Below are 24563 nucleotides of genomic sequence, written 5' to 3'. Positions count from 1 at the left end.
ATGATTCAATTATCTCCCACTGGGTCCCTCCTAACATGTGGGAATTATGGGAGCTACAAGATGAGATTTGGGTGGGTACACAGAGTCAAACCATATTAGTACCTTACAGTGGCTTTTTTTTATTATTATACTTTAAGTTCTAGGGTACATGTGCACAACATGCAGTTTTGTTACATATGTATACATGTACCATGTTGGTGTGCTGCACCCATTAACTCGTTATTTACATTAGGTATACCTCCTAATGCTATCCCTCCTGCCCTCCCTCTGCCCCACGACAGGCCCCTACAGTGGCTTTTATATTCCAGGCTGGCAGAGGCATGGCTGAGACCACTTGGGGGATTTCAGGCTGATGCACTTCAGCTGGGTGGATTTCTGGATGTTTGAAGAACTCTTGCCAAAAGTGTAGTTGTCCCATGAGGGAAGGTTCTAGAAGGATATAATGGGGATAGGGAGGGAGATCTGTCCTGAGATTTGCCTGGCCAATAATTTGGGACAGGATCAGAGACACTTAGCTGTGAGGGATGGCCTTGAACTGAAGGAAAATCAAGATCCAGCTGACCTTCAGAGGACTGGAGGTGAAGAGGTGCAATGAGCAAAAGGAACTTAAGTAAAGGAAGATGTAAAATCTTGCACCTGGATTTATATTAACCTTGTATCCTGCAACCCTGCTGTTATCATGATTAGTACTAGAAATTTTCGTGTTTATTCTGATTTTATACTTAGACAATCACATCATTTGTGAACAAAGATAGTTTTATTTCTCCCTTCCCAGTCAGAATACCTTTTATTTCCTTTTCTTGTCCTATTGCATTAGCTAGGACTTCCTGTCCAATGCTGGAAAGCTGTGGTGAGAGGGGACAGCCTTGCCTTGTTCATGATCTTAGTGGGAAAGCTTTGAGTTTCTCACCATTAAGAGCAATGTTAGGCCAGGCGTGGTGGCTCATGCCTGTAATCCCAGCACTTTGGGAGGCCGAGGTGGGTGGATCACCTGAGGTCAGGAGTTCAAGACCAGCCTGACCAACATGGTGAAACCCGGTCTCTACTAAAAAAAAAAATACAAAATTAGCCAGGCATGATGGTGCATGCCTGTAATCCCAGATACTTAGGAGGCTGAGGCAGGAGAATTTCTTGAACCCAGGAGGCAGAGGTTGCAGCCGAGATTGCTCCATTGCATTCCAGCCTGGGCAACAAGAATGAAACTCTGTCTCAAAAAAAAAAAAAAGAAAAGAAAAGAAAAACAAAGCAATGTTAGCTGTAGGTTTCCTGGTAAACACTCTGTTAACTTCAGGAAGTTTCCCTCTACTCCTAGTTTGCTGAGACTTCATCATGAATGGGAGTTGCATTTTGTCAAATGCTTTTGCTGTATCTATTGATATAATTATGTGATCTTCTTTAGCCTGTTGATGTGATGGATTACATTAATTGATTTTTTTTTTTTTTTTGGGACAAGGTCTCACTCTGTCACTCAGGCTGGAGTGCAGTGGTGTGATCACGGCTCACTGCAGCCTTGACCTCCTGGGCTCAGGTGATCCTCCCACCTCAGCTTCCTGGTTAGCTGCGACTATAGGTGGGCGCCACGATGTACAAAAAGTACACCCAGCTAACCTTTTGTACTTTTTGTAGAGTTGAGGTTTCACCATGTTGTCCAGGTTGTTATTGAACTGTGCTCAAGCAATCTGCCCGCCTCAGCTTTCCAAAGTGCTGGGATTACAGGGATAAAACAATGTTTCCAGTCTGATTTTCAAATGTTGGACCTGCCTGGCATACCTGAGATAAATTCCACTTGGTCATGGTGTATAATTCTTTTCATACATTGTTGGATTCAAGATGCTAATATTTTGTGAGGTGCACATGGGTTTAAAAGAAAAAAATCAGTTGCACAGTGCCTAAGAAGGGGAAGACCTAATTAGATCACAGCTCATGAGGAAAAGACCTAGGAGTGACTGCAAACCCCACCTTTGTTTGGGCTGCGGAAGAAGTGATGCCATCCCGGAATGAATGAACATAAAGGGTGTTCAGGCCAGGGAGAAAAGGCCTCTGTGATCAGACTATATCTGGAATTGGGTGTTCCGATCTGGCTGCACCACAGAGAAAGACAATGCAGGGCTGGACCCACTCCAGAGAAGAGCTGCCTCGCCCTCCAGCGTCCTCAGCCTCGGCTCCCTGCCCACAGACAGCTGGACCCAGCCTGGCTCTCTGATTCCCAACCCCTCCTCCCCCACCCCATCCCTGTCTGCTCAGCACTTCCAGGCCCCCAGGACAGCCTGAATTTGCCCACCACTTCCGCCCAAACGTCCATTTCAATGGAGGTTCCACGGGACTTTTTGCTTGTGAAACGGACTCCAGCCCTGGCTCCTGAGGAGCTGGGTTTGAGTCTTGGCTCAGCCTCTCATTTATCACTCTCTAAAATTATCTTATTTGCTTCCCTATTTACTGCCTGCCCCCTCCCTCTGGAATGCAAGCTCAGTGAGGACAGGGACTTTGCCACTGCTGCAGTCTGCCCTGGCACCCAGACCACAGCCCAGCACACTGTAGCAGGTGCTCAGAAAATGTTTGTTGAATGAATAAATATGTGAGCTCTGGGTGGGTCCTGGTCCCCTCTGGGCCTTAGTTTCTCCATCTGCAAAATGTTGCTCTCAAGTCCTTGTGACTCCAACATTCTTTTTTTTTTTTTTTTTTTTTGAGACAGAGTCTCACTCTGTCATCCAGCCTGGCATGCAGTGACACAATCATATCTCACTGCAGCTCAAGTGATCCTCCCACCCCACCTCCCGAGTAGCTGAGACTACGGGCACGTGCTACCATCCCTGGCTAATTTGTTTCATTTTTTAGTAGGGTCGGGGTCTTGCTATGTTGCCCAAGCTGGTCTTGAACTCCTGAATTCAAGCAGTCCTCCTCCCTCGCTTTCCCAAAGTACTGGGATTACGGACGTGAACCACCGTGCCCAGCAGACTCCAACATTCTTAAATTCACTGGGAGGAGGTTGCTTGGAGCTCCCCCAGACCCTCAGCTGCCACATCTCAGGGGATAACCCAGGGGTGGAGGCAAGTGGAAGGAGAGCGGGAGCCGTCATCTTGGCCCCCATTACTCCTGCCTGTGGCCTAGGGACCCACATGGAGATGGCCAGCCCATCACCTGCCTTATCTCTGGGAGCTTTGTTGGTGCTTTGTCCCTGCCAGGAAGTCACAGTTCGTACATCCCAGACGTCCTTCCATTCCTCCACTGCTGCCTGTTGAAACAACACAGCTCATGCTCTCTATTCTAGACACACGGAAATTGTGGGCCAGCGGACCACACATGCTGCCAGTGATGGCACCACCCCAGCCCACCTGCCCTGTGAGGGGCTCTCCGAGGCTGCAGGTTGAAGTCCAGACCCTCAGGCCTTCAGCAAGCCCTGGCCCAGCTGCCATCTTCCCTGCCCCCAAGCCCCTAAACAGCTTCCGTGCTACACATGAGTGAGTTCCCTGCGTCCTGCCTCTGTCTTTGCTCTGGCTCTTCTTGTCCCCTGGGATGTCCTTCCCCTCCATTTCCCTGTGTTCCTAACTCACTCATCCTTTGAGGCCCAACTGAAAAGCCACACCTTTCCTTCCCCTACTTGGAAGTAACCCTCATCCACTCAAACTCCCAAAACACAGTCAACTCCCCTCTTGAGGGCAGGCCTCACCTTCTCCTTGTGTCTCGGACACCGTGTGCCACGTCCACCTCCCCCAGGACTGTCAGCTGTGGCAGCTTTCTGTCCTACTCATGCCCAGCTCAGCTTCCAGCCCACAAACAGAATGAATAAATGGGTGGATGAATGAATGAATCAACAAAACATATCAGAATCCATTGTGTCCCTGGAAAGGTCTGTATCCAAGGCCCCATTCGCTCCTTCATTCAACAGACACTTATTAAGTGCCTACTGTGTGCACAGTGTTGGGACTGGCCAGGGCAACCAAGACAGATACAGTCGCTGCTCTCTTGGCATTTCAGCCTAGCGAGGGTGACAGAAAAATACACAAGGCAAATAAGCCAGTGATTACAAATTATGATATATGATGTCAAGGAAAATACAGGGGCCTGTGACGGGGAGTAAAGGAGAAGGAAGGCCCCTTGGAAGAGGGGTCGTTTGAGCTTAGCACAGAGGGATGAGAAGGAAAAACCACGTGAAAGGGGAGAGGAAAGAGGGACCTGGGGGGAACGGGAGCTGGGTGGAGGCCAAGAGCAGGAGCCAGCGCAGTGGTCAAGGAGCTGGAAGGAGGCCAGTGGGACTGGAGTAGAGAGACGAGGGAGCAGATCAGGAGACAAAGGTGAAAGGTTCGATCACCAGGCCAGAGAGGCCACTATGGTAAGGTTAGGTTTACTCTACATGCAACAAGAAATTACTGGAGAATTTTATTTTATTATATTTTATTTTGTTTTTGTTTTTTTTTTTTGAGACAGAGTCTCACTCTGTCACCCAGGCTGGAATGCCGTGGTGTGATCTTGGCTCACTGCAACCTCCACCTCCCAGGTTCAAGTGATTCTCCTGCCTTAGCCTCCTGAGTAGGTGGGATTACAGGTGCCGCCACCACGCCCGGCTAATTTTTGTATTTTTAGTAGACACGGGGTTTCACTATGTTGGTCAGGTAGGTCTTGAACTCCTGACCTCAGGTGATCCACCTGCCTCAGCCTCCCAAAGTGCTGGGATTACAGGCATGAGCCACCGCGCCCAGCCTGGAGAATTTTAAAAGGAGAAACAGCATGACTAGTTTTTGTTTTTAAAAGATCAATAGCTATTTTAGGGGACTGATTCGGAGGGTGTGTGTGCAAAAGCAGATAGCAGGAAACAGGCTATTGTAAGAGACTATTGTGGTATGGACCCAGGGAGATGGAAAAATGTCAAATATAGGAGTATGTGGGAGATGATATTAATAGAACTTTGGACAGGCTTGGTGTGGAAGGTGAAGAAAAAGGAGAATTCAGGGAGATACCTTAATTTTTTATTTGAGCAGCCAATAGCAGTGATGCCGTTTCCTGGGTTGAAGGGTGGAACAGTGGAAGATGCAAACGTCTGATTGCAGTTGGGAGGGTGTGAGCCATCCCGGTGGAGCCGTCTGGGGGCAGTTGAATATACCAGCCTGGACGTCAAGGGAAACGTTTATCACATTCCCATGACATTACTATTATTTTATTCATGAACTTATTATTTTATAATTAATTTATTATTTTATTGTATTTATTGATTTTTAGAGACACGGTCTTGCTCTATCGCCGAGGCTGTAGTGCAGTAGTGCAATCACAGCTCACTGCAGACTCCACTTCCGTGGGTTCAAGTGATCCTCCTGCCTCAGCCTCCCGAATAGCTGGGACTATAGGCACACACCACCGCACCCAGCTAATTATTTTGTTTTTTGTGGAGACAGGGTCTCACTATGTTGCCCAGACTGGTCTCCAATTCCTAGGCTCAAACGATCCTCCCACTTTGGCCTTCCAAAGCACTGGGATTACAGGCGTGAGCCACCGTGCCTGGCCCCATGACATTATTTATGGTCATAGGAATGATGCCACCCTGAACCAGCTCGAACCCTGAAAAACATTAGAGATTGGGGACAGAAATCAGGACAAGCAGAGGAAAGTGATACGGAGCAGCCAGGGATGTGGAAGGGAAACAGCAAGCAGCTTCCATGGAGGCTGTGAGAATCAGGTGCTTCCAGAAAGGGGCTGTGGCCAACTGGGCTGCATGCTTCTGAGAGGCTCTGGGAGCTGAGGACAGAAGCGTGTTCACTGGACTTGGCAGCAGGGAGGGTGTTAGTGACTTGACAAAAGTAGTTTCAGTTGAAGGGGAAACGGAAGCCAGGTTGGAATGGATTGGAGAGAGAATGAAAGGTAAGGAAGTCAAGACAGCTGGTGTAGACACTTTCCAAGAAGTTTTACTGTGAAGAGGAAAGAAAAATAGGGCAATAGATGCAGGGAGGTGTGGGGCCAGGAGAATAGTTTTGTCACCACTGCCATTGTTTTTAAAGTGGGGGACACTAGAGTCTGTTCACAGATGGGGAGAGGTGGATGGGCAGTAGAGAGAGGGCACCTGGAGAGGTCTTTGAGAAGCAAGAGGGGCTGGGGTCCTGAGCCCCAGGAAAGCCTGACCCTTGCTTCTTATTATTATTCTAACAGGATAGAGGAAGACGGGGTGGGATGGGGAGATGGTTCTGTGGATTTGACAGTGTGTGTGTAGTGGTTCTTCCTTCCTCAGGGAAGACCATCAGCTGGGAGGCTCATGGGGAGGAGCGCGGAGGTCTGAGGAAAGAGGAGAAGGCATGAAATAGTTGTTTTCAAAAAGTGGAAAAGTGAGCCTACCAGAAAAATCCACACTACAGGGCTGGCAGGATTGAGGACAAACCCAGAATATGTGACCATGAATTTACGGTGAGCTCAGCCTAGTCATACCATTTCCCCAGCCACATTTCTCCAGCTCGGGGCTGACTTTGGAAAACCAGAGCTGGGGACATGCAGTTAGGGGTTCCCCAGGACTGTGTGATAGAAGGAGAGAGATCCCTCCTTCTGGGATCTCTCCCTGGGAGCTGTGGAGGAGGGACCAGAATGATGATCTTCTAAGTAAGCCTAGATGAGGAGGGACATGAAGTCAGAAGCAGGTGGAAAGGGAGAAAGTGCAGGGTCAAAGAACTGAAAGTGCCCAAAGATTATAGCAACCGGGCCCCTGAGCCAGGAGCTGAGAAGGTGGCAGGGGCAAAGGAAGAGTTTGAAGTGGTGATTTCAGAGGAGATATGGTTTCTGGTTATGATTTAGGTTCAGGGTATGCTTAAAGGAGAAAAGAGCTAAGGTAGAGTGTCCCTGTGATTCACTCACTTATTCATTTGATAAACTTTTATTGAGCTGGTGACACAAACAAGGGGAGAGTTCCACCCAGCCAGGGTACCCAGGGAGGGCTTCCTGGAGGAGGTGGTTCTTGTGTGGGTTGAGTCTAGAAAGATGAATGGAAGCTCTCCAGGGAGACAAAGAAGATGGGTGCTCTGGGAGGAGAGCAAACCACAAGCAAAGGCATGGGGGTTAGGGCAGGGGGGTGGAAAACAGCTTGGCCCATTTGTGAAAATGGAGGTAGCATGGCCAGAGGATGCGGGAAGGGTAGGCAATGAGGCAGGGATCTGATCATGGAGGGCCTTGGGAGCCCTGGGTAGGGCTTAGGACGTACTCCTAAGCAGTGGAAAGCCATTGAAGATTTAAGCAGGGGGTGAAATTTGTGACTTTACAAATATTTATGGCAGTCTAGGGGAGAGCCTGGTGGGAGGTGTTTCTTTGGTTGGTTTTTGAGACAGGGTCTCACTCTGTCACCCAGGCTGGAGGACAGTGGCACCATCATGGCTCACTGCAGCCTCGAACTCCTGAGCTTAAGGGATCCTCCTGCCTTCGTAGCTGGGACTACAGGAGCATGTCACCACGCGGGGAGGTTATTTGAACAGAACAGGTGAGGGGTGGAGGGTGGAGAGGGCAGTGACACTGGAGAGGGAGCATCAGTAGGGTGTGGAACTGGCCAGATCTACCACCATGATGCTTCGGGCAGCCACCAACCAAAGCCAGCTTCAGCAAGTGGAACCAGTGAGGACATTCCTCCCCTCACATTACAAAACAGCCAGACCTCAGGGGTAATGGAGGAGTAGGAGAAGAGGAAATTAGGAGGAAGTGAACATTTTGAAGGGAGAGGTGTACGCTGTGCAAAGAAAACAGGCTGCAGAGCAGGCCCCAGAGAAGAAGCATCTTCCAGGGGCAGGGAAGGGGCAGGTCCCAGAGCAGAGCTGGGGAGAGTGGCCGGACGCACAGGTGATGTCCTGCTCCCAAGAAGAAAGGCGGTGTGCGGTGTGGGAAGCTCAGGAGGGCCAGCGGGGAAGAAAACACTGGATCTGTCCCCTGGGGAGCTCTGGTGACTCAGGTGAGAGTCATTTCCTCGAGTGCTGGGGTTGGGAGCCAGACTATGTGTCTGTGGGCTTTTGTGGCCCTACTTGGGCTCGTGTAATGAAAAGAGTGAGCAGTATCAGGACAGGAGGATCATCACAGCAGGGACTGCAGACTGGGTGGGTGCACAGCAGCCCTGGGGTCTCTTCAAGGCCATCTGGCTGGTTGGCGCCTTCTGTGTAGTGACAAGCAGCATGTGGGGGTGTACGTGGAGTGGGTGATGGGGAGGAAGGTGGCAAGGTATATGACAGAGCTGTGAGATGCAACTGGGAAGGTCTGCATGTGGGGTGGCTCCAGGCCGGGTGTGCGTGCATGTGCCTGTGTGTGCAAGTGTGTGCACATGCACGCCCACGCTCACGACAGGGGCCAGTGAGCAGCTGAGGGCAGGGTTGGCAGGAATAAGCAGAGTCATCCCCGTGGAAACACGACTCCCTGGGTGCTGTAAGGAGCAGCTGGGAGCCAGGCACAAGGGCGTGGCCAGCTCTGCCCAGTGGCTCTGGCCTCTCCCTGGCCACCCTCCCCACCTGTTGAGCAAGCCTGAGAAGCGCCCGTGCTGACCAGGGCAGGGGCGCTGCTGCAAGGGTCAAGGCCCACTGGGAGAGGTCCACCCTCAGGTGTGGCTTTGGGGGTCTCTAGGGGTCTGTCCAGGTCCCTGTGGTGCAGGGGTGGCTCCAGGTCTGTCCATGTGGGTCTGGCAGTGGCTGCCTGCAGCTGGTCTGCAGGGGTCTCACTGCAACTGCCTGCTGATGTGGTCATTCCCCCAGGGCCATTTGCAATAAGTGATCCCCCTTCCCTTCCACAGGAATAGGCTCTGGAGGGCTGGGCAGAAGGGGAGAGGGGCCAGGTGGGGCCCAGACCACACAATGCTCACAGGCATCAAAGGCTCCTTGTGGATGCCCCTTCCCCCAATCCAGCTTGTGCTGGGACCACCAGCCAAAAGCAGTCCCCAGGAGCTCTAGCCCTGCCCCCACCATTGGAGTTGTCCATCTCCTTGTCCCTGTGACCTTCCCTGTACGTCTTCTCTTCCACGTTAGCACCTGCAGCTCTCCAGATGCAATGTTCCTCTCCCAGTTCACCCTGCCTGCCCAGTGGGCTAGAGCCCCCAGGGCTGTGGGAGGGAACTGCTAGGAGACCCCTGCCGGGCCCAGGGCCCTTTCTTCTTCCCTCTCCCAGCCCAACACCAAGTACCCCAAAGATCAGGAAAGAGGAATCCACACCCACCCCCATCTTTCTTTTCCCTTCCCTCCAGGCCAGGGATGGCAAACACAGGCAGAGGCACCACGGTCTTCCTCCTTGCGCCCCTGGCAGACATCACTAATCAATCACAGCAACCTTTTTGCACAGAGCCTGGCTGCCACCTTCATGGTCTCCACCTACATCTCCAGGTGGCCAATATCAGGATCCACGTCGGCCCTCAGGGTGAAGTCCCTGTGCCAGTCCCACTTTGATCTAACCCCCCAACCAGGCCCCTCATCCTGGCCTATCCAGAGGTCGCCTGAGCACAGCCAGCTGTGGTTCTCTCTCTGTCCCATTAGGCTGAAGCCACACAGTTCCCGGAGCTTGGGCCCAGGAGGCAGTCGAAGGCACTGGGGTGTTGACCCCAAGTCCCAAGGCCACAAAGAATCTGGTTGGTTTGCCGTCGGTCCTGAGGGCAGCCGCTGCCACTTCTGGGGAAAGTGTGGTGGGGGGGCCAGGGGTGATGCTCTGTGCCCAGCACCTGTGCAGCAGCAGCACCTTGCAGGCACATCTCCCAGTCCTGATAGAGTCTGCACGCCCACCTCCCCGGCTCGGCCACTGGGCAAGCAGGAGGTGAGGAGTGGACGGCCCGCCCAGGGAGGGGCGGCCGCCCAGCACCCCGGGGCTGCGCACTGCAGCTCCCCAGGCCACCCACCACCCTTCTGGTCTCTGAGCCCAGGATGCGAGGATGGCCAGACCATCTCTGTGCACCCTGGTGCCTCTGGGCCCTGAGTGCTTGCGCCCCTTCACCCGGGAGTCACTGGCAGCCATAGAACAGCGGGCGGTGGAGGAGGAGGCCCGGCTGCAGCGGAATAAGCAGATGGAGATTGAGGAGCCCGAACGGAAGCCACGAAGTGACTTGGAGGCTGGCAAGAACCTACCCATGATCTACGGAGACCCCCCGCCGGAGGTCATCGGCATCCCCCTGGAGGACCTGGATCCCTACTACAGCAATAAGAAGGTCTGGGCCTGGGAAGGCTTCCTCTGTCTGTCTGCCATCCATCCATCTGTCTGCCTGTCTGTCTGTCCCTGGGTCTCACAGCCTCTCTCCCACCTTAGACCTTCATCGTACTCAACAAGGGCAAGGCCATCTTCCGCTTCTCCGCCACACCTGCTCTCTACCTGCTGAGCCCCTTCAGCGTAGTCAGGCGCGGGGCCATCAAGGTGCTCATCCATGCATATCCTGCCCAAGATGGGAGAGGCGGGAGGGGTTAGGGATGGGCGAGATGGGGTGCTGTGGCCCAGGAGACCCTCTATCACCTCCCATCCTAGCTGCTTCCTCACTTTCCTTGACCCTGCCCCACGCTGTTCAGCATGTTCATCATGATCACCATCTTGACCAACTGCGTATTCATGACCATGAGTGACCCGCCTCCCTGGTCCAAGAATGTGGAGTAAGTCTCCCTGCTCCCTGAGCTCCCCAGCCCTGGGACACAGCCCATCTCAGGTGTTTGCACCTCTGTGTGGTGCTGCTCTTGTCTTTCAGGGAGACACACTGTCATTGTGACCCTCATCCACACCTTGAGTCCCTGGGGTGGCCATGCTATCACTCGCTAGTGTCCTTAGCCACCTGAGTGGCATATTTCATTTCTGTGTCCCTCCCTTCTGGGGGTCTGTCGTTGCCACACTGACCCCTACCCAGGTGACATGCCTGTCCCGGCCGGCCCTCTCCCCCCCAGGTACACCTTCACAGGGATCTACACCTTTGAGTCCCTCATCAAGATACTGGCCCGAGGCTTCTGTGTCGACGACTTCACATTCCTCCGGGACCCCTGGAACTGGCTGGACTTCAGTGTCATCATGATGGCGTGAGCAGGGGCCCCAGGACATCCTGAGGCTGGGGTGGGTGAGGGGAGGGGGCCAGGCCTTAAAGAGGGAAGCTGCCTGGGCTGAGGGCTGCAGGGGACATCGGTCAGTTGTGCAGATGGGGAGCTGCACAATTCTAGAAGCTGCCATTCTCAGGGTCTGGCTCAGCACTCTCCTGATGGACTCCTGATAATCACATGAGGCAGCCCTGACCCACAGACCCATGGGTCCTCACCTGCTGGGTGAGCCGGGCTATCTTTGCCATCCCCACTCCCCCAGAGCTCCTGCACTGTCCTTCCCAACCCTTGGGCTCCCAGAGGAGCTTTGGGGGTGTCTGCCCTGCCCCCCAGACCCTGTGGTACCCCCAATTTCTTGGGAATCCTCATCCCAGGCCTGGAGGAGCCCTGATTTCTGTCCTACCACCCACCCCAGGCTCTGACAGTCCCCACCCCCCTCCACCCCCTACCCAGGTACCTGACAGAGTTTGTGGACTTGGGCAACATCTCAGCCCTGAGGACCTTCCGGGTGCTGCGGGCCCTCAAAACCATCACGGTCATCCCAGGTACTGGGGAGGTGCAGGGACCCTCTGCCTGAGCTGAGAGACCCCCGTACCATGTGCAGGCCTGGAACCTGACTCAGTGTCACAACACTCCCAGGCTGGTGTTTTTGTAGAACTCACAGCAAAGCCTGGACATACAGGGGCCCACGTGACCAGAGGGCAGATGGGGTCCTACATGGAAGGATGGGCGTTTGAGAGGCAGCATGGCAAGTTGGTTAAGAGCACAGACTCAGCTGGGCATGGTGGCTCACGCCTATAATCCCAGCACTTTGGGAGGCCAAGGCAAGTGGATCAACTAAGGTCAGGAGTTTGAGACCAGCCTGGCCAACAAGACAAAACCCTGTCTCTACTAAAAATACAAAAATTAGCCTGGCATGGTGGTGTGCACCTGTAGTCCCATCTACTCAGGAGGCTGAGGCAGGAGAATCACTTGAACCTGGGAAACAGAGGTGGCAGTCAGCCGAGATCACGCCACTGCACTCCAGCCTAGGCAACACAGTGAGATTCCATCTCAAAAAAAAAAAAGAAAACAAATTAGCTGGGCCTGGTTATGCTCTCCTATAGTCCCAGCTACTTGGGAGGCTAAGGCGGGAGGATAGTTTGAGCCCAGGAGATCAAGCCTGCTATGAGCTGTAATTTTGCCACTGCACTCCAGCCTGGGAAAAAGAACAAGACTCTGTCTCAAAAGAAAAAAGCACAGATTCTGGAGCCTGACTGCCTGGGTTCAATTCTCACCTTTACCACTTCCTAACTTTAACTTTGGGCAAGTGCCTCGCCCTGTCCATGTCTCAGTTTCCTTATCTGTGGCATATGGAGACTCATAGTACCACTCCTTGGATTGTTGTAAGGATTAAATGCCTTAATATCTGTAAGGCCCTCACAGCCCCTGGCCCATGGTTTGTGATATACACGTGTGTGCTCAATAAAATAAGCAGACAGAGCAGAGAAGAGAGAGACACAAAAAGGCTCCATGAGGAAAAGTCCAAGCTCTGAGAGCTCAATTAGGAACACACCAGGCACCTGCTGAGCAATAAGGTCAGAGCAATTCCAAAGTAATGCATCAACAAGCATGAAATCAATAGAATCCGAACATTCAGACCTGCAAAAGAGCATGTGGAGAAACTGGAGATTCTCTCCCAGTAAAGGAGAGAAAGAAAAAGGATAGAGATCAGGCTCTGGGAAGAGGGAAAATTGTTAAATCCTAATATGAGAAAGTACCTGAGGCCAGGTGTGGTGGCCCATACCTGTAATCCCAGCACTTTGGGAGGCCGAGACAGGTGAATCACTTGGGGTCAGGACTCTGAGACCAGCCTGGCCAACGTGGTGAAACCCCGTCTCTACTCAAAATACAAAAATTAGCTGGGCGTGGTGGCATGTGCCTGTAATCCCAGCTACCTGGGAGGCTGAGCAGGAGAATCACTTGAATCGAGGAGGCAGAAGTTGCAGTGAGCCGAGATCACACCACTGCACTCCAGCCTGGGCGACAGAGCGAGACTCTATCTCAAAAAAAAAAGAAAAGAAAAGAAAAGAAAGTAAGAAAGAAAGTACCTGAGCTATCTTCTAGTCTAAAGCCCTCTGACTGCAGCCGAGGAAGGTGTGAGACCCAGGAGAGGAAGCACTTCCCAAATTCCACACTGTACATTGGCCACTGAGCCAAGACGGCATTGCCTTTCCTCTGTGCCAGCTGCCAGCATCCTCGGGGCGCAGGAGGGCTTTTATAAGGAGGCTGCCGAGCATTTGTTTTCCATATCAGGATAAGAAAAGGAAATGAAGTCATATTAACGCAAGAGGCACTACGATTAGGCCCAAGGAAGAAGTTACGGCTCTTCCACAGGTGATGGGAACCTGCCCCTGGGATTATTTCAGCATCGTTTATGCCTTTGTCTGTCTAAAGAATATAATGATGTTTCAAGTTCAGTCTAGAGCTTCTGCTGTTCCTCGGGTGCTACTAGGCATTTTAAGGAAAAGGGTTCTGTGGTCAAATATGTTAAGGATACGTGGGATTAAAGTTTTTGTTTAATAGGCCAGGTGAGGTGGCTCATGCCTGTAATCCCAGCATTTTGGGAGGCTGAGGCAGGCTGATTACTTGAGGCCAGGAGTTCGAGACCAGCCTGTCCAACATAGCGAAACCTCATCCCTACTAAAAGTACCAAAAAAATGAGCTGGGTGTGGTGGCATGCACCTGTAATCCCAGCTACTTGGGAGGCTGAGGCAGGAGAATCACTTGAACCCAGGAGGCAGAGGTTGCAGTGAGCCAAGATCACGCCACTGCATTCCAGCCTGGGTGACAGAATGAGACTCTCTCTAAATAAATACATAAATACAAATAAAGTTTTTGTTTATTTCTGCAGGACTTTTCAAAGCCTTTGATAGGATCAACTACATAATGACTCTCCAAGAGCAGAATCTAGAACGCAGCTTTTCCCAAACATTATCAACGCCCCCTTTTTAAGGGCACAGCATGGGAGATTAGCGTTCTGTTGAACACACTTTGACAGCGCTAACTTAGTGACATGTATTAAGCTCTGCTGTATGCCTTTGTTTGCTCTATAGGTCAGGCAACAGCCCATCAGGTCTTTATAGTTCATTCTCCTAGTGGCTGAGCGTCTGTGGCCATTTGAGGGCTCCAGATTGAGGATGTGAACAGAGAAGGGTGGAGTTAATTTCAGAAGGCTTCGGGGAAGTAGTGGTGCTCAGTAAGTCAAGCCTTGAAGATGGAGTAGGAAAAAGCTTGGCGGTGGGGGCCGCGGGGGCTCTGTTATCACCCTGCCCTGCCCCCTGCCAATATCCTTGCCCTCTCTGCGGTCAGGGCTGAAGACGATCGTGGGGGCCCTGATCCAGTCGGTGAAAAAGCTGTCGGATGTGATGATCCTCACTGTCTTCTGCCTGAGCGTCTTTGCGCTGGTAGGACTGCAGCTCTTCATGGGAAACCTGAGGCAGAAGTGTGTGCGCTGGCCCCCGCCGTTCAACGACACCAACACCACGTGGTACAGCAATGACACGTGGTACGGCAATGACACATGGTATGGCAATGAGATGTGGTACGGCAATGACTCATGGTATGCCAACGACACGTGGAACAGCCATGCAAGCTGGGCCACCAACGATACCTTTGATTGGGACGCCTACATCAGTGATGAAGGTAAGAATGGGGAGGGTGACGGGCAAGGGGGATCCTGTCCCAGTCCCTAGGGTAGCCTCTGACTCCACATTTTCTTTTTTTTTTTTTTTGAGATGGAGTCTCACTCTTGTCACCCAGGCTGGAGTGCAAAGGTGCCATCTCAGCTCACTACAACCTCCGCCTCCCGGCTTCAAGCGATTCTCCTGCCTCAGCCTCCCGAGTAGCTAGGATTACAGGCATGTGCCACCAGGCCCAATTAATTTTTGTATTTTTAGTAAAGATAGGGTTACATCATGTTGGCCAGGCTGGTCTCGAACTCCTGACCTCATGTGATCTTCCCACCTCGGCCTCCTAAAGTGCTGGGATTACAGGCGTGAGCCACCGCTCCCCGCCCTGTCTCCACTTCTTATGAGACAAATAGTATGGCGAGGACCTGAGCTTAAAGCTAGCACTTGGCAGCCTGTGTCACCTCTGACTAGTCACTTGATCTCCCCAGCCCTCCGAATCCTCACCTATAAAATCAAGATAACAATACCTTCCTCAAAGGGTTACTGCAGCAACAAATGGCAAACTGTTTTAAAAACCCTAAAGTGCCAGGCACGGTGGCTCACGCCTGTAATCCCAGCACTTTGGGAGGGCGAGGCAGGCAGATCACCTGAGGTCAGGAGTTCCAGACCAGCCTGACCAACGTGGTGAAACCCCGTCTCTACCAAAAATACAAAAATTAGCCGGGCGTGGTGACGCATGCCTGTAATCCCAGCTACTCCAGAGGCTGAGGCAGGAGAATCGCTTGAACCTGGCAGACAGAGGTTGCAGTGAACCGAGATCATGCCATTACACTCTAGCCTGGGCAACAAGAGTGAAACTCAGTCTAAAAAAAAAAAAATCCTAAAGCTCTCACTATGCAAAGCAAGAGTCTATAGTTCCTACTCCCTAACCTGTGCACCCCCTGTCCTCCTTCATCACACCACATTTTCACATGCTCACATCCTGGCAGGGTCACCATCACCCACCCACACACCCACATCCTATTCACATATGCATCTTCACAGGCACACATGCCAGAAACACACACATTCTCACACAGCCACTGTTAGTCTACATAGCGCCTTCTTGCAAATTAGGAAAAGGTAACCCTTCTCACCCTGGCACCTGGATTCCAGCCCCCACTCACCCTTCACTCAGGGGCCCTACATAGGTACACAATAACCCCATGCACACACGTACACGTTCCGTCTCTGTGCCACTGCTGCGTCATGACTTTTCGTCCACACTGGGCACTGGGCTGACAGGGCTCAAGCTGAGCTCCCTGCCGAGTCCCTACCCAGAGACCTTGGAACTTGGAGCTGTCCTTAAAGGACGGGGAAGAGGCAGCCAGGGAACATCCGTTTGGTTTATGTGGTACGCGCAGACCTGTCCACAGGTGTGCAATGGGCGCAGGTGCTCACACTGTGTCCATGTGGGTGACTTGCCTCCTTTGTGGCCTCTGACTCCCAAAGGGAACTTCTACTTCCTGGAGGGCTCCAACGATGCCCTGCTCTGTGGGAACAGCAGTGATGCTGGGTGAGTGATGCTAAGGGATGCAGAAAAGGCACCCCAGGGGTCTTGGAAGGTGGGAGCTGATTAGAGATGAGGACCTGGGGGGCATGGGAGTGCAGGGAAACCTGTGGGCATGGATGGAATACTTTTCTGTTTGGGGGACACAGGCAGAACTGACGGAATTTTTCCCTTGGGGTCCCTATCTGCCCCCAGCTGGAGTGCTCCTCCCACCCTAAACCCAGCCCCCTGTCCTATTCCTAGGCACTGCCCTGAGGGTTATGAGTGCATCAAGACCGGGCGGAACCCCAACTATGGCTACACCAGCTATGACACCTTCAGCTGGGCCTTCTTGGCTCTCTTCCGCCTCATGACACAGGACTATTGGGAGAACCTCTTCCAGCTGGTACAGCTGCCCCCACCCTGCCCCCCAACCCTACAGCCACTCCCCCTCCATCCCTGCAGCCTCTTCAGGGCCTGATGGGGCCTACCACAGGATGGCCAACCCCCGAACTGGGCCATCTCCTCATGGACTCCCGCAGTGCCCTTATAGGAGCTTGTGCTCTCTGAAACTAGACACCTGCCCCGAGCCAAGCCACAGCTTTAATTCTTTCCACACCTTTGCTTTCAGAGCCAAGGTCTGGACCTAGCATAGGCACAAGCCCAGGACCCCCTAGGCCTCATGATAGCCAGTAGGGCAGCTTAGAAATCCAATGCTGCCTGCCGGGCGCGGTGGCTCACGCCTGAAATCCCAGCACTTTGGGAGGCAGAGGTGGGCGGATCACGAGGTCAGGAGTTCGAGACCAGCCTGGCCAACATAGTGAAACCCCATCTCTACTAAAAATACAAAAATTAGCCGGGTATGGTGGCACGGGCCTATATTCCCAGCTACTCAGGAGGCTGAGGAGGGAGAATTGCTTGAACCCGGGAGGCGGAGGTGGCAGTGAGCCGAGACCACGCCATTGCACTCCAGCCTGGGCGACAGAGCGAGACTCCGTCTGAAAAAAAAGAAAGACAGAAATTCGATGTTGCCCATACTTTATTTGCCTTCTACTGTTTGCAGGGAAGGCAGGCTGAGCCTGGAGTGACAGTGCCTTCTGATGCCATGTGATGTTTCTAACATTGATGGTGTTGATAACAATAACAAAAATAATAACAGCTACTGGCTGGGTGCAGTGGCTCATGCCTATAATCCTAGCACTATGGGAGGCCGAGGCAGGCAGATCACTTGAGGTCAGAAGTTTGAGACCAGCCTGGCCAGCATGGCGAAACCCATCTCTACAAAAAATACAAAAATTAGCCAGGTTTGGTGGCAAACACCTGTAATCCCAGCTACTCAGGAGACTGAGGAAGGAGAATCACTTCAACCTGGGAGGTGGAGGTTGCAGTGAGCCGAGATCACACCGCTGCACTCCAGCCTGGGCAACAGAGTGAGACTACGTCTAAAAATAAATAAATAAATTGATTAAATAATAATAATAGCTACTATTTGTTGAGTTCTTACTAGGTGCCAGGCACTGTGGCAAAGCTAGAATTCAAGCTGACCCCAAACCCATGTTCACCAATTTTCTATCCTGGCTCTCTGATAACAGGATGCCTGGCTTCGGTCCTCCTCTGAGCCAGGAGACCAGAAACGTTTGAGTCCCAAGTAGATATTTTGAAGTTCCCCAGAACATGGCTCAGCATGCCAATGACGGCCATCAGTCCCCCAGGCTCTGTGAGGGAGGGGCTCTGCTTACCCATGCGGGCAATGGATGTATGGAAAGGGGCACTGGGTCAAAGGAGGTGGACGTCATGGGACCCCTCCACTCCCTCTCCCTCCACTCCCAGACCCTTCGAGCAGCTGGCAAGACCTACATGATCTTCTTCGTGGTCATCATCTTCCTGGGCTCTTTCTACCTCATCAATCTGATCCTGGCCGTGGTGGCCATGGCATATGCCGAGCAGAATGAGGCCACCCTGGCCGAGGATAAGGAGAAAGAGGAGGAGTTTCAGCAGATGCTTGAGAAGTTCAAAAAGCACCAGGAGGAGCTGGAGAAGGTCTGGACTCAGGGAAAGGAGATAGAGGACCCAGGGTTCTACCTGCCCTCAGCCGGGGCTGCCACTGGCTTCTCCCTGGGGGGCCGAGGGTGAGGGAGGGTACAGGGGTAGGGGTTTTGAGGCAGAAGGAGCAGAAGGCCCTGGGCTGGGAGCTTTGCTGGTGGCAGGGGGATGGAGGGATCCAAGCAGTAGAAAAAGCATTTCTCTGCTCTGTGCCTCAGTTTCCCTGTCTATAACAAGGAATCTGGAGTAGCTAAACCTGAAGTATTCTTCCAGCTCAAATATTTCTGATTTTGTGATGCTTTCTGGGTAGTGGATAGGTCCATACTGAGGGAAGGGCAGGTCCTGATGAGGCCACAGGGAGCGGCTGACCAGTTTCTCATTCTGTCAACAAGTGGAGGGTTAGTCAGGGCATCAGAGTCAAGGGTCTTCAGGGCAGAGGGTCTTTAGTCACTTTGGTCCCTACCCTGTCACCCCCACCACCATGGAGGTTGGTCCCTCCCCCACCTGCACTAAGTTTGACACAGGCCAGGAAGAGGGGCTGCCACCCTGAAGGACTCTGGAAGAAGCTCTGAGGGTCAATTAGTCCATCCCTCTGGCTCAGAGCTGGACTTCCTGCCAGTCACTCTTGCTGGTCTACAGGCCAAGGCCGCCCAAGCTCTGGAAGGTGGGGAGGCAGATGGGGACCCAGCCCATGGCAAAGACTGCAATGGCAGCCTGGACACATCGCAAGGGGAGAAGGGAGCCCCGAGGCAGAGCAGCAGCGGAGACAGCGGCATCTCCGACGCCATGGAAGGTGAGTGCCTTGTGCCCCCGTGCCCACTTAGGTAGGGGTGGAGCCTGGCTGGACTGGATTCAGGAGGATAGGGATGCCATGGAAGGTGAGTGCCCTGTGCCCCCTCTACCCATTCAGGCCCCTGAGGTCAGGGTGGGGCCTGGCTGGACCAGCTTCAGGACAGTAACTTAATATTGGCATAGAAGAAATGGCTATATTTATACTATATTTATCACAGCCATTTCTGGCTGTCACAAATATAGTCCTGTCTTAACCTGGCCCAGTTCTAGCTGCAAGGCCAGGCTGCTATGGGAACTGGGGGCTTCCGGGAGGGCCTTGGGGACTGCCCAATGGGAAGCACAGGCTAATAATACTAACCAGAAGGCCCAATGTTCCGGAAACTGGACATCCTGCTCCTCAAGTGTTCTCTGGGTAAAAGTTAAAGGCCAAAAGTCAAATTCTGCCCAAACAGAGTGACAGACTCCCCAATCCCTGTGCCACATGCTGAATCTCAGAAGAATAAGGATGTCATGATGAGAGAGGGTGAATAGACACGACACGACAGATGGATGGACAGATGGATGGACGGACGGATGGATGGATGGATGGATGGATGAGAGGGAGGGAAGTAGGGAGGCAGGAGGGAAGGAGGAAGCACAGGAAAAAGGGACAATAGAGAAAAGGAATTCTGACACACAGAGATGTGGTTCCCTCCCCAGGTCGGCTTGCCTTGTGCCAGGGAGTTGGGGGCCCTGCAGGACTTTGCAGATCTCTAGAGGTCACCATGTCACCTGACCTTGTATGACAGGTATCCAGGTGCCCATATGCCCTGCCAGAGGGTACCCAGGGAATGCTGGGGGAGGAGGCCTCTCCACCCTGCCGTTCCTGGGACCACTGTGAGAAGTTTTGGGCCTCAGACACTGTTTGGGCACCTGCAGAAGCACAGGGTAGGGGTGGAGGTGCAGACTGGGGAGGCTTTGAGTGACACTCAGTGTGCTAATTACTGGGTGTGGGAGGGAGGTTCAGCCACCCTCCCCGGCATGAATCCAGGGTCTCCATGGGGCTGCCACCCACTCCAGTCCCTTTTCTTTGTCTTTGAAATGGGAGCCACTGATTGTATTTACCGGGAGGCACTGATTGTATTTACCTGCTGTGATGAGTAAGTGAGATCGTGCCTGGGCCAAGGACACTCCGAATGTGTCCCCACCGTGCCCCATATTTCCACACAGCCAAACAGCCCACCAAGGCCAGGAGGAGGAGGAACAGCTTTGTCCCACGGTCCTTACAAAGCACTCGTGGCTTTGGGGTGGCAAGAACAGGGGATGTTTCTTGAAGGCCACTGTGGTGGGAAAGGATGGACCGGCTGGGGACACTTTGGAGGGGCCGGTATTACCGACAGTGCATCCCCGAGGGATCTGTCTGTGCAGAGTTGCACTAGCCAGCAGCTCATGGGGCTGGAACCCAAGCCCCTGCAGTGGCCTCCCGCCTCTCCCTGGGAACTCGGACCCAGACAGATTAGGGCATCTCACAGGCCAGGCTCGCAGCCCTGGGCCTCTGGCAGGGGGTGGGCGTCCTGTCCAGCTCCCTGAGGGGTGGGGCTTTGTGGGGTGAGTCAAGAGGGCGGGGCTTGAGGCAGGGCATTGAAAGGCGGGGCTTGGGGAAAAGTTTGCTGAGGAGGTGGTCCTGTGAGTTACTGCACTAAGGGGCGGAGCTTCGGGAGGAGGCGGGGCTTCCTCAGGAGTTGGGAATGTGGGCGGGGTTTAGAGGGGACGGACATGAGGATGCGCTCTGTGAGGCGGAGGAGCTTGGAGCCGGGGGTGGGGCTTTGAGGAGGTGGGGCTTTGAGGGGCGGGGTTGTGGGCGGGGTTTAGAGAGGTGTGTCCGGAGGGTGATGCGGTGAGTGGTGGTGGAACTTGAAGTAGAGGGCGGAGCGCTGAGGACGCGGGGGTTCCAGGGGTGGGGCTGTAGGCGGGGGTTAGAGGGCGGGATCTGGAGGGTGCTCACTGAGGCGGTGGAGCTTGGAGCCGGCCGCGCTCAGAGCGCGGGGCTTTGGGGTGAAGCCATGTGGGGCGGAGGTTACAGGGGAGGTGACAGTAAGGGTGACGCAAGAGGCGGTGGAACTTGGAATAGGCCTTGCTAGAGGGTTGAGATGTGGAGTGCTAAGGGGCGGGGCTTGGAAGGTGGAACAAAAGCTCTAGCTGGAGCCGGGGGCACGTGAGGGGATAATCCTCACCAGATACCTGCTACCACCCCTCTCCCAGAACTGGAAGAGGCCCACCAAAAGTGCCCACCATGGTGGTACAAGTGCGCCCACAAAGTGCTCATATGGAACTGCTGCGCCCCGTGGCTGAAGTTCAAGAACATCATCCACCTGATCGTCATGGACCCGTTCGTGGACCTGGGCATCACCATCTGCATCGTGCTCAACACCCTCTTCATGGCCATGGAACATTACCCCATGACGGAGCACTTTGACAACGTGCTCACTGTGGGCAACCTGGTAGGGAGGGGCGGGGGAGGGGATCATTCATGGGCAGGATGGGAGGGGGTAGGGCCCAGTGGAGCTGTCTGGCTGTATGTAAATATAGGGCACGGTGGGGGACACATGCGGACAGCTGGGGTTATTTTCCCAGCATATGGGAGGCATGAGTTGATGTGGGGGGGGGTACTTGGGGTGATCTGTGGCACACAGAACTGGGGTTTCAGGACATTTAGGGGCAGGGAGATGGGGTTGAGGCGCTGGGCTTCCTAAGGTCCAGATTCTTGGGGATCTGGGATCCAGACCATGCCCTGGAAGCAGGGGTGAGGAAATGGGGGTGTGGAGATAGGGGTGAAGGGGCTAGCTGACAAGTCTGTCCACTTCCAGAAGTTGTCATGGGCCTGAAAGGAGCCAAGGGATCTGGCAGTGTGACCTATAGCCCTGGCTACCCAGGACCAGTGGGCTGCAGGGGTTACTCCCCCAACCCTCACCTATTTCTCCAGCGTGGCCAGGCTTCTCCTCTCTCCAGCCCTTTCCTGCTCCACTATTGTTGACACCACTGATCCGCCCGCTTATCCAGGCCCATTAGGAGCATTATCACCTCATTGCCGGCCCCAGAGGAGCCTGACAAAGGGAAAAGCCGCCTCCTCCTCCAGCCCTGCCCCACCCTTCCCAATTCCCTTTGCAATTTTTCCAGGACGGCAAATGGGCGAGATGCTCCCCAACCCTGAAGGTTAGGGGAAGCCAGGGAGAGTAAGATTTGGGGTCTGGGAGAGAACCAGGGCTGGGTGGGTGGCACGAGAATCAAACCCTGGGCTCCCCAGCCTTCGAGGCAGGCACGTCTGTCCTATAGAGGTGCCGAGGCAGCCATGGCCAGGCTGGGCTGGAAGGGTAAGGGCGTGCTCTGGACTCGTGGCACAGCTGCTGGGATGTGCGTGATGGACCGGGCCTGCCCGCTTGCCCACCCCCTGCCCACACTATGCTGCTGCCTTGGCACCTGCTGTGGCCAGGGACAGCCTCTGGGAGGGGCTCAGCATGTGCCCAGGCAGGCTGTGGACCCAGGGCAGCTGGTGCCTGGCAGGAGGGGGGCCGTGCCCAGGGAGCTTTCAGGGACTGTGCAATCCTCAGATCCCATGTCCAGGGTTGGCAGGGGAAGCTCTGGTCTTCTTCTCACTGATTTTGCTCCTTTTGGTCCCTGCCCTAAACCTTTGAGTCTGCCAAGATTTGCAAGATCCTGGGAGTGGTCCCTGTGGAGAGGCTGTAGGCATACAGACAGGATGCTGAACTGAGCACCTGAGAACTGGGCTTGAGATGTGGCTCGTTCCCATGTGGGTGCTGTGATGCCAGCTAGCTGCCCAGCTAGCTGAGCCTCAACTGCTCATGTGTGGAATGCATGTGAGAATCCCTCCCAACATTGTAGAGATCAGGATACCAGTGAAGTCACAAAGTGAACCACAGAGCGCCCTGCAAATGTTGAATATTATGACAGGGTTGGGTCTCCAAGGAGTGAAGTGCCTTGCCCACTGTCACAAGGCCAGAAATGAATGGGAACGGGTCTCAGAGTTGTACCCACCTAGGCCCTATGACTTGGCCTTTGCCTCCATCACTCACTTATACACACACGGGCCATGCATGCCACTCCTGCTCCTCTCAGGGCTCTGGACCCCTTCCCCTCCGCCCCCGCAGCCTCTGCCAGGAGGTGGGAGTTGGGTGGGAGACTTCCAGGGCCCTGGGCTCCCCGAGGCTCTGTGACAGGGCCTCATGCCACCCCCTAGGTCTTCACAGGCATCTTCACAGCAGAGATGGTTCTGAAGCTGATTGCCATGGACCCCTACGAGTATTTCCAGCAGGGTTGGAATATCTTCGACAGCATCATCGTCACCCTCAGCCTGGTAGAGCTAGGCCTGGCCAACGTACAGGGACTGTCTGTGCTACGCTCCTTCCGTCTGGTACACAAAAGCCCCAGGGCCAGGGGCTGGGATGGGGGTGGGGTGAGGAGACTAAGGAGGGTGGGCACAGGGATGGGAGGAGAAACCCCAGGAAGCTAGAGGGCTGAAAACGAGGCCTCCTCTGCCTTGTGCACACCTGTTACCTCTCAGAACCTTTCTTACCTGTAAAACAGAGAAAAGGAGAGCCCTGTCTTCTTTCATAGGGCTGCTGGGGGGACCCAAGTGACAGAGGCCAACACTGGGTTTGATTCCTTAATGACCTTGAGCAGCAGTGGAGCAGGAACTCCAGCCCCATACTGCAGACCTGAAAGCCGGGGCTCTGGAAGTTCATTAGGAGTAGGATTGGGACCTCTGAATTTCTGTCTTTTCACCACCCCATAAGGAGCACTATTATTCTTTTTAAAACTTTATCAGCTGGACGCGGTGGCTCACGCCTGTAATCCCAACACTTTGGGAGGCCAAGGCGCGTGGATCACCTGAGGTCAGGAGTTCAAGACCAGCCTGGCCAACATGGTGAAACTCCGTCTCTACGAAAAACACAAAAATTAGCTGGGCTTGGTGGCGCACGCCTGTAATCCCAGCTACTTGGGAGGCTGAGGCAGGAGAATCACTTGAACCCGGAAGGCTGAGGTTGCAGTGAGCCGAGATCGCACCACTGCACTCCAGCCTGGGTAACAGATTGAGACTCTGTCTCAAAAAAAACAACAACAACAAACTTTATCAAGGGATCTTTTCATGCATGCACAAAAGTATAGAGAAAGTATAATGAACCTCCACGTACCTATCACCCAGCTTCAACAACTATCAACATTCTACAATTCCTGTTGCATCTGTCCCCCAATTTTTATTGTGAAAGCAAATCCCAACATATAATTTCACTTGTAAATACTTTAGTCTGTATTTTTTTTTTTAGACAGGGTTTCTCTGTCACCCAGGCTGGAGTGCAGTGGTACGATCACTGCTCACTGCAGCCTTGACCTCCCCAGACTCAGGTGATTCTCCCACCTCAGCCTCCTGCATAGGTGGGACCACCATGCCTAGCTAATTTTTGTAATTTTTGTAGGTCAGGGTTTCGCCATGTTGCCCAGGCTGGTCTCCAACTCCTAGGCTCAAGTGATGCACCTTCTTCGGCC

General features: G+C 53.5%; 1 protein-coding gene and 1 long non-coding RNA gene across 4 annotated transcripts in view, besides 5 other annotated features; one reads left to right on the top strand and one right to left on the bottom strand.

The window, feature by feature from the left end:
- Window positions 9777-24563, top strand: part of SCN4A (sodium voltage-gated channel alpha subunit 4) — a 34365-nt gene continuing 19578 nt past the window's right edge. The window contains exons 1-12 of the mRNA NM_000334.4: window positions 9777-10126; window positions 10225-10343; window positions 10470-10559; window positions 10845-10973; window positions 11442-11533; window positions 14340-14672; window positions 16151-16214; window positions 16452-16593; window positions 18018-18227; window positions 18870-19023; window positions 21264-21502; window positions 23257-23430. Coding sequence (NP_000325.4) covers window positions 9854-10126; window positions 10225-10343; window positions 10470-10559; window positions 10845-10973; window positions 11442-11533; window positions 14340-14672; window positions 16151-16214; window positions 16452-16593; window positions 18018-18227; window positions 18870-19023; window positions 21264-21502; window positions 23257-23430 — 2019 coding nt within the window. The 5' untranslated portion in view covers window positions 9777-9853. The remainder of the gene's footprint in view (window positions 10127-10224; window positions 10344-10469; window positions 10560-10844; window positions 10974-11441; window positions 11534-14339; window positions 14673-16150; window positions 16215-16451; window positions 16594-18017; window positions 18228-18869; window positions 19024-21263; window positions 21503-23256; window positions 23431-24563) is intronic.
- Window positions 13894-14394: an enhancer, noted in NCBI's record as "H3K4me1 hESC enhancer chr17:62045661-62046161 (GRCh37/hg19 assembly coordinates)". NCBI's record gives its function as "activates a minimal SCP1, AML or CMV promoter by ChIP-STARR-seq in primed H9 embryonic stem cells {active_cell/tissue: H9 hESC(primed)}" and the evidence as "EXISTENCE:reporter gene assay evidence [ECO:0000049][PMID:30033119]".
- Window positions 15206-15404: a silencer, noted in NCBI's record as "fragment chr17:62044651-62044849 (GRCh37/hg19 assembly coordinates)". NCBI's record gives its function as "represses an EF-1alpha promoter that drives an FKBP-Casp9 reporter gene in an ReSE screen in HepG2 liver carcinoma cells {active_cell/tissue: HepG2}" and the evidence as "EXISTENCE:reporter gene assay evidence [ECO:0000049][PMID:32094911]".
- LOC105371858 (uncharacterized) lies at window positions 16122-22040 on the bottom strand. Of its 3 annotated transcripts, none has more exons than XR_001752969.2 (5): window positions 21973-22040; window positions 19381-19430; window positions 18487-18611; window positions 18045-18146; window positions 16122-16190 (listed from the first exon to the last, which is right to left on the bottom strand). It is a non-coding gene; the product is annotated as an uncharacterized LOC105371858 (long non-coding RNA). The 3 variants fall into 3 exon arrangements; XR_001752970.2 differs by lacking the exon at window positions 21973-22040 and adding an exon at window positions 20150-20272; XR_934910.3 differs by lacking the exon at window positions 18487-18611.
- Window positions 21736-22734: an enhancer, noted in NCBI's record as "NANOG-H3K27ac-H3K4me1 hESC enhancer chr17:62037321-62038319 (GRCh37/hg19 assembly coordinates)". NCBI's record gives its function as "activates a minimal SCP1, AML or CMV promoter by ChIP-STARR-seq in naive H9 embryonic stem cells {active_cell/tissue: H9 hESC(naive)}" and the evidence as "EXISTENCE:reporter gene assay evidence [ECO:0000049][PMID:30033119]".
- Window positions 22735-23734: an enhancer, noted in NCBI's record as "H3K27ac-H3K4me1 hESC enhancer chr17:62036321-62037320 (GRCh37/hg19 assembly coordinates)". NCBI's record gives its function as "activates a minimal SCP1, AML or CMV promoter by ChIP-STARR-seq in naive H9 embryonic stem cells {active_cell/tissue: H9 hESC(naive)}" and the evidence as "EXISTENCE:reporter gene assay evidence [ECO:0000049][PMID:30033119]".
- Window positions 23843-24563: part of a locus control region, noted in NCBI's record as "fragment (approximate range) that functions as an LCR in transgenic assays", that runs on past the window's edge. NCBI's record gives the evidence for it as "EXISTENCE:transgenic organism evidence [ECO:0001131][PMID:8524268]".

The sequence above is a fragment of the Homo sapiens genome, chromosome 17, assembly GCF_000001405.40.
Source record: "Homo sapiens chromosome 17, GRCh38.p14 Primary Assembly".
NCBI classification, from domain to species: domain Eukaryota; kingdom Metazoa; phylum Chordata; class Mammalia; order Primates; family Hominidae; genus Homo; species Homo sapiens.
The sequence above is the reverse complement of the archived record's forward strand: the minus strand, read 5'-3'. Positions and strand labels throughout refer to the sequence as shown.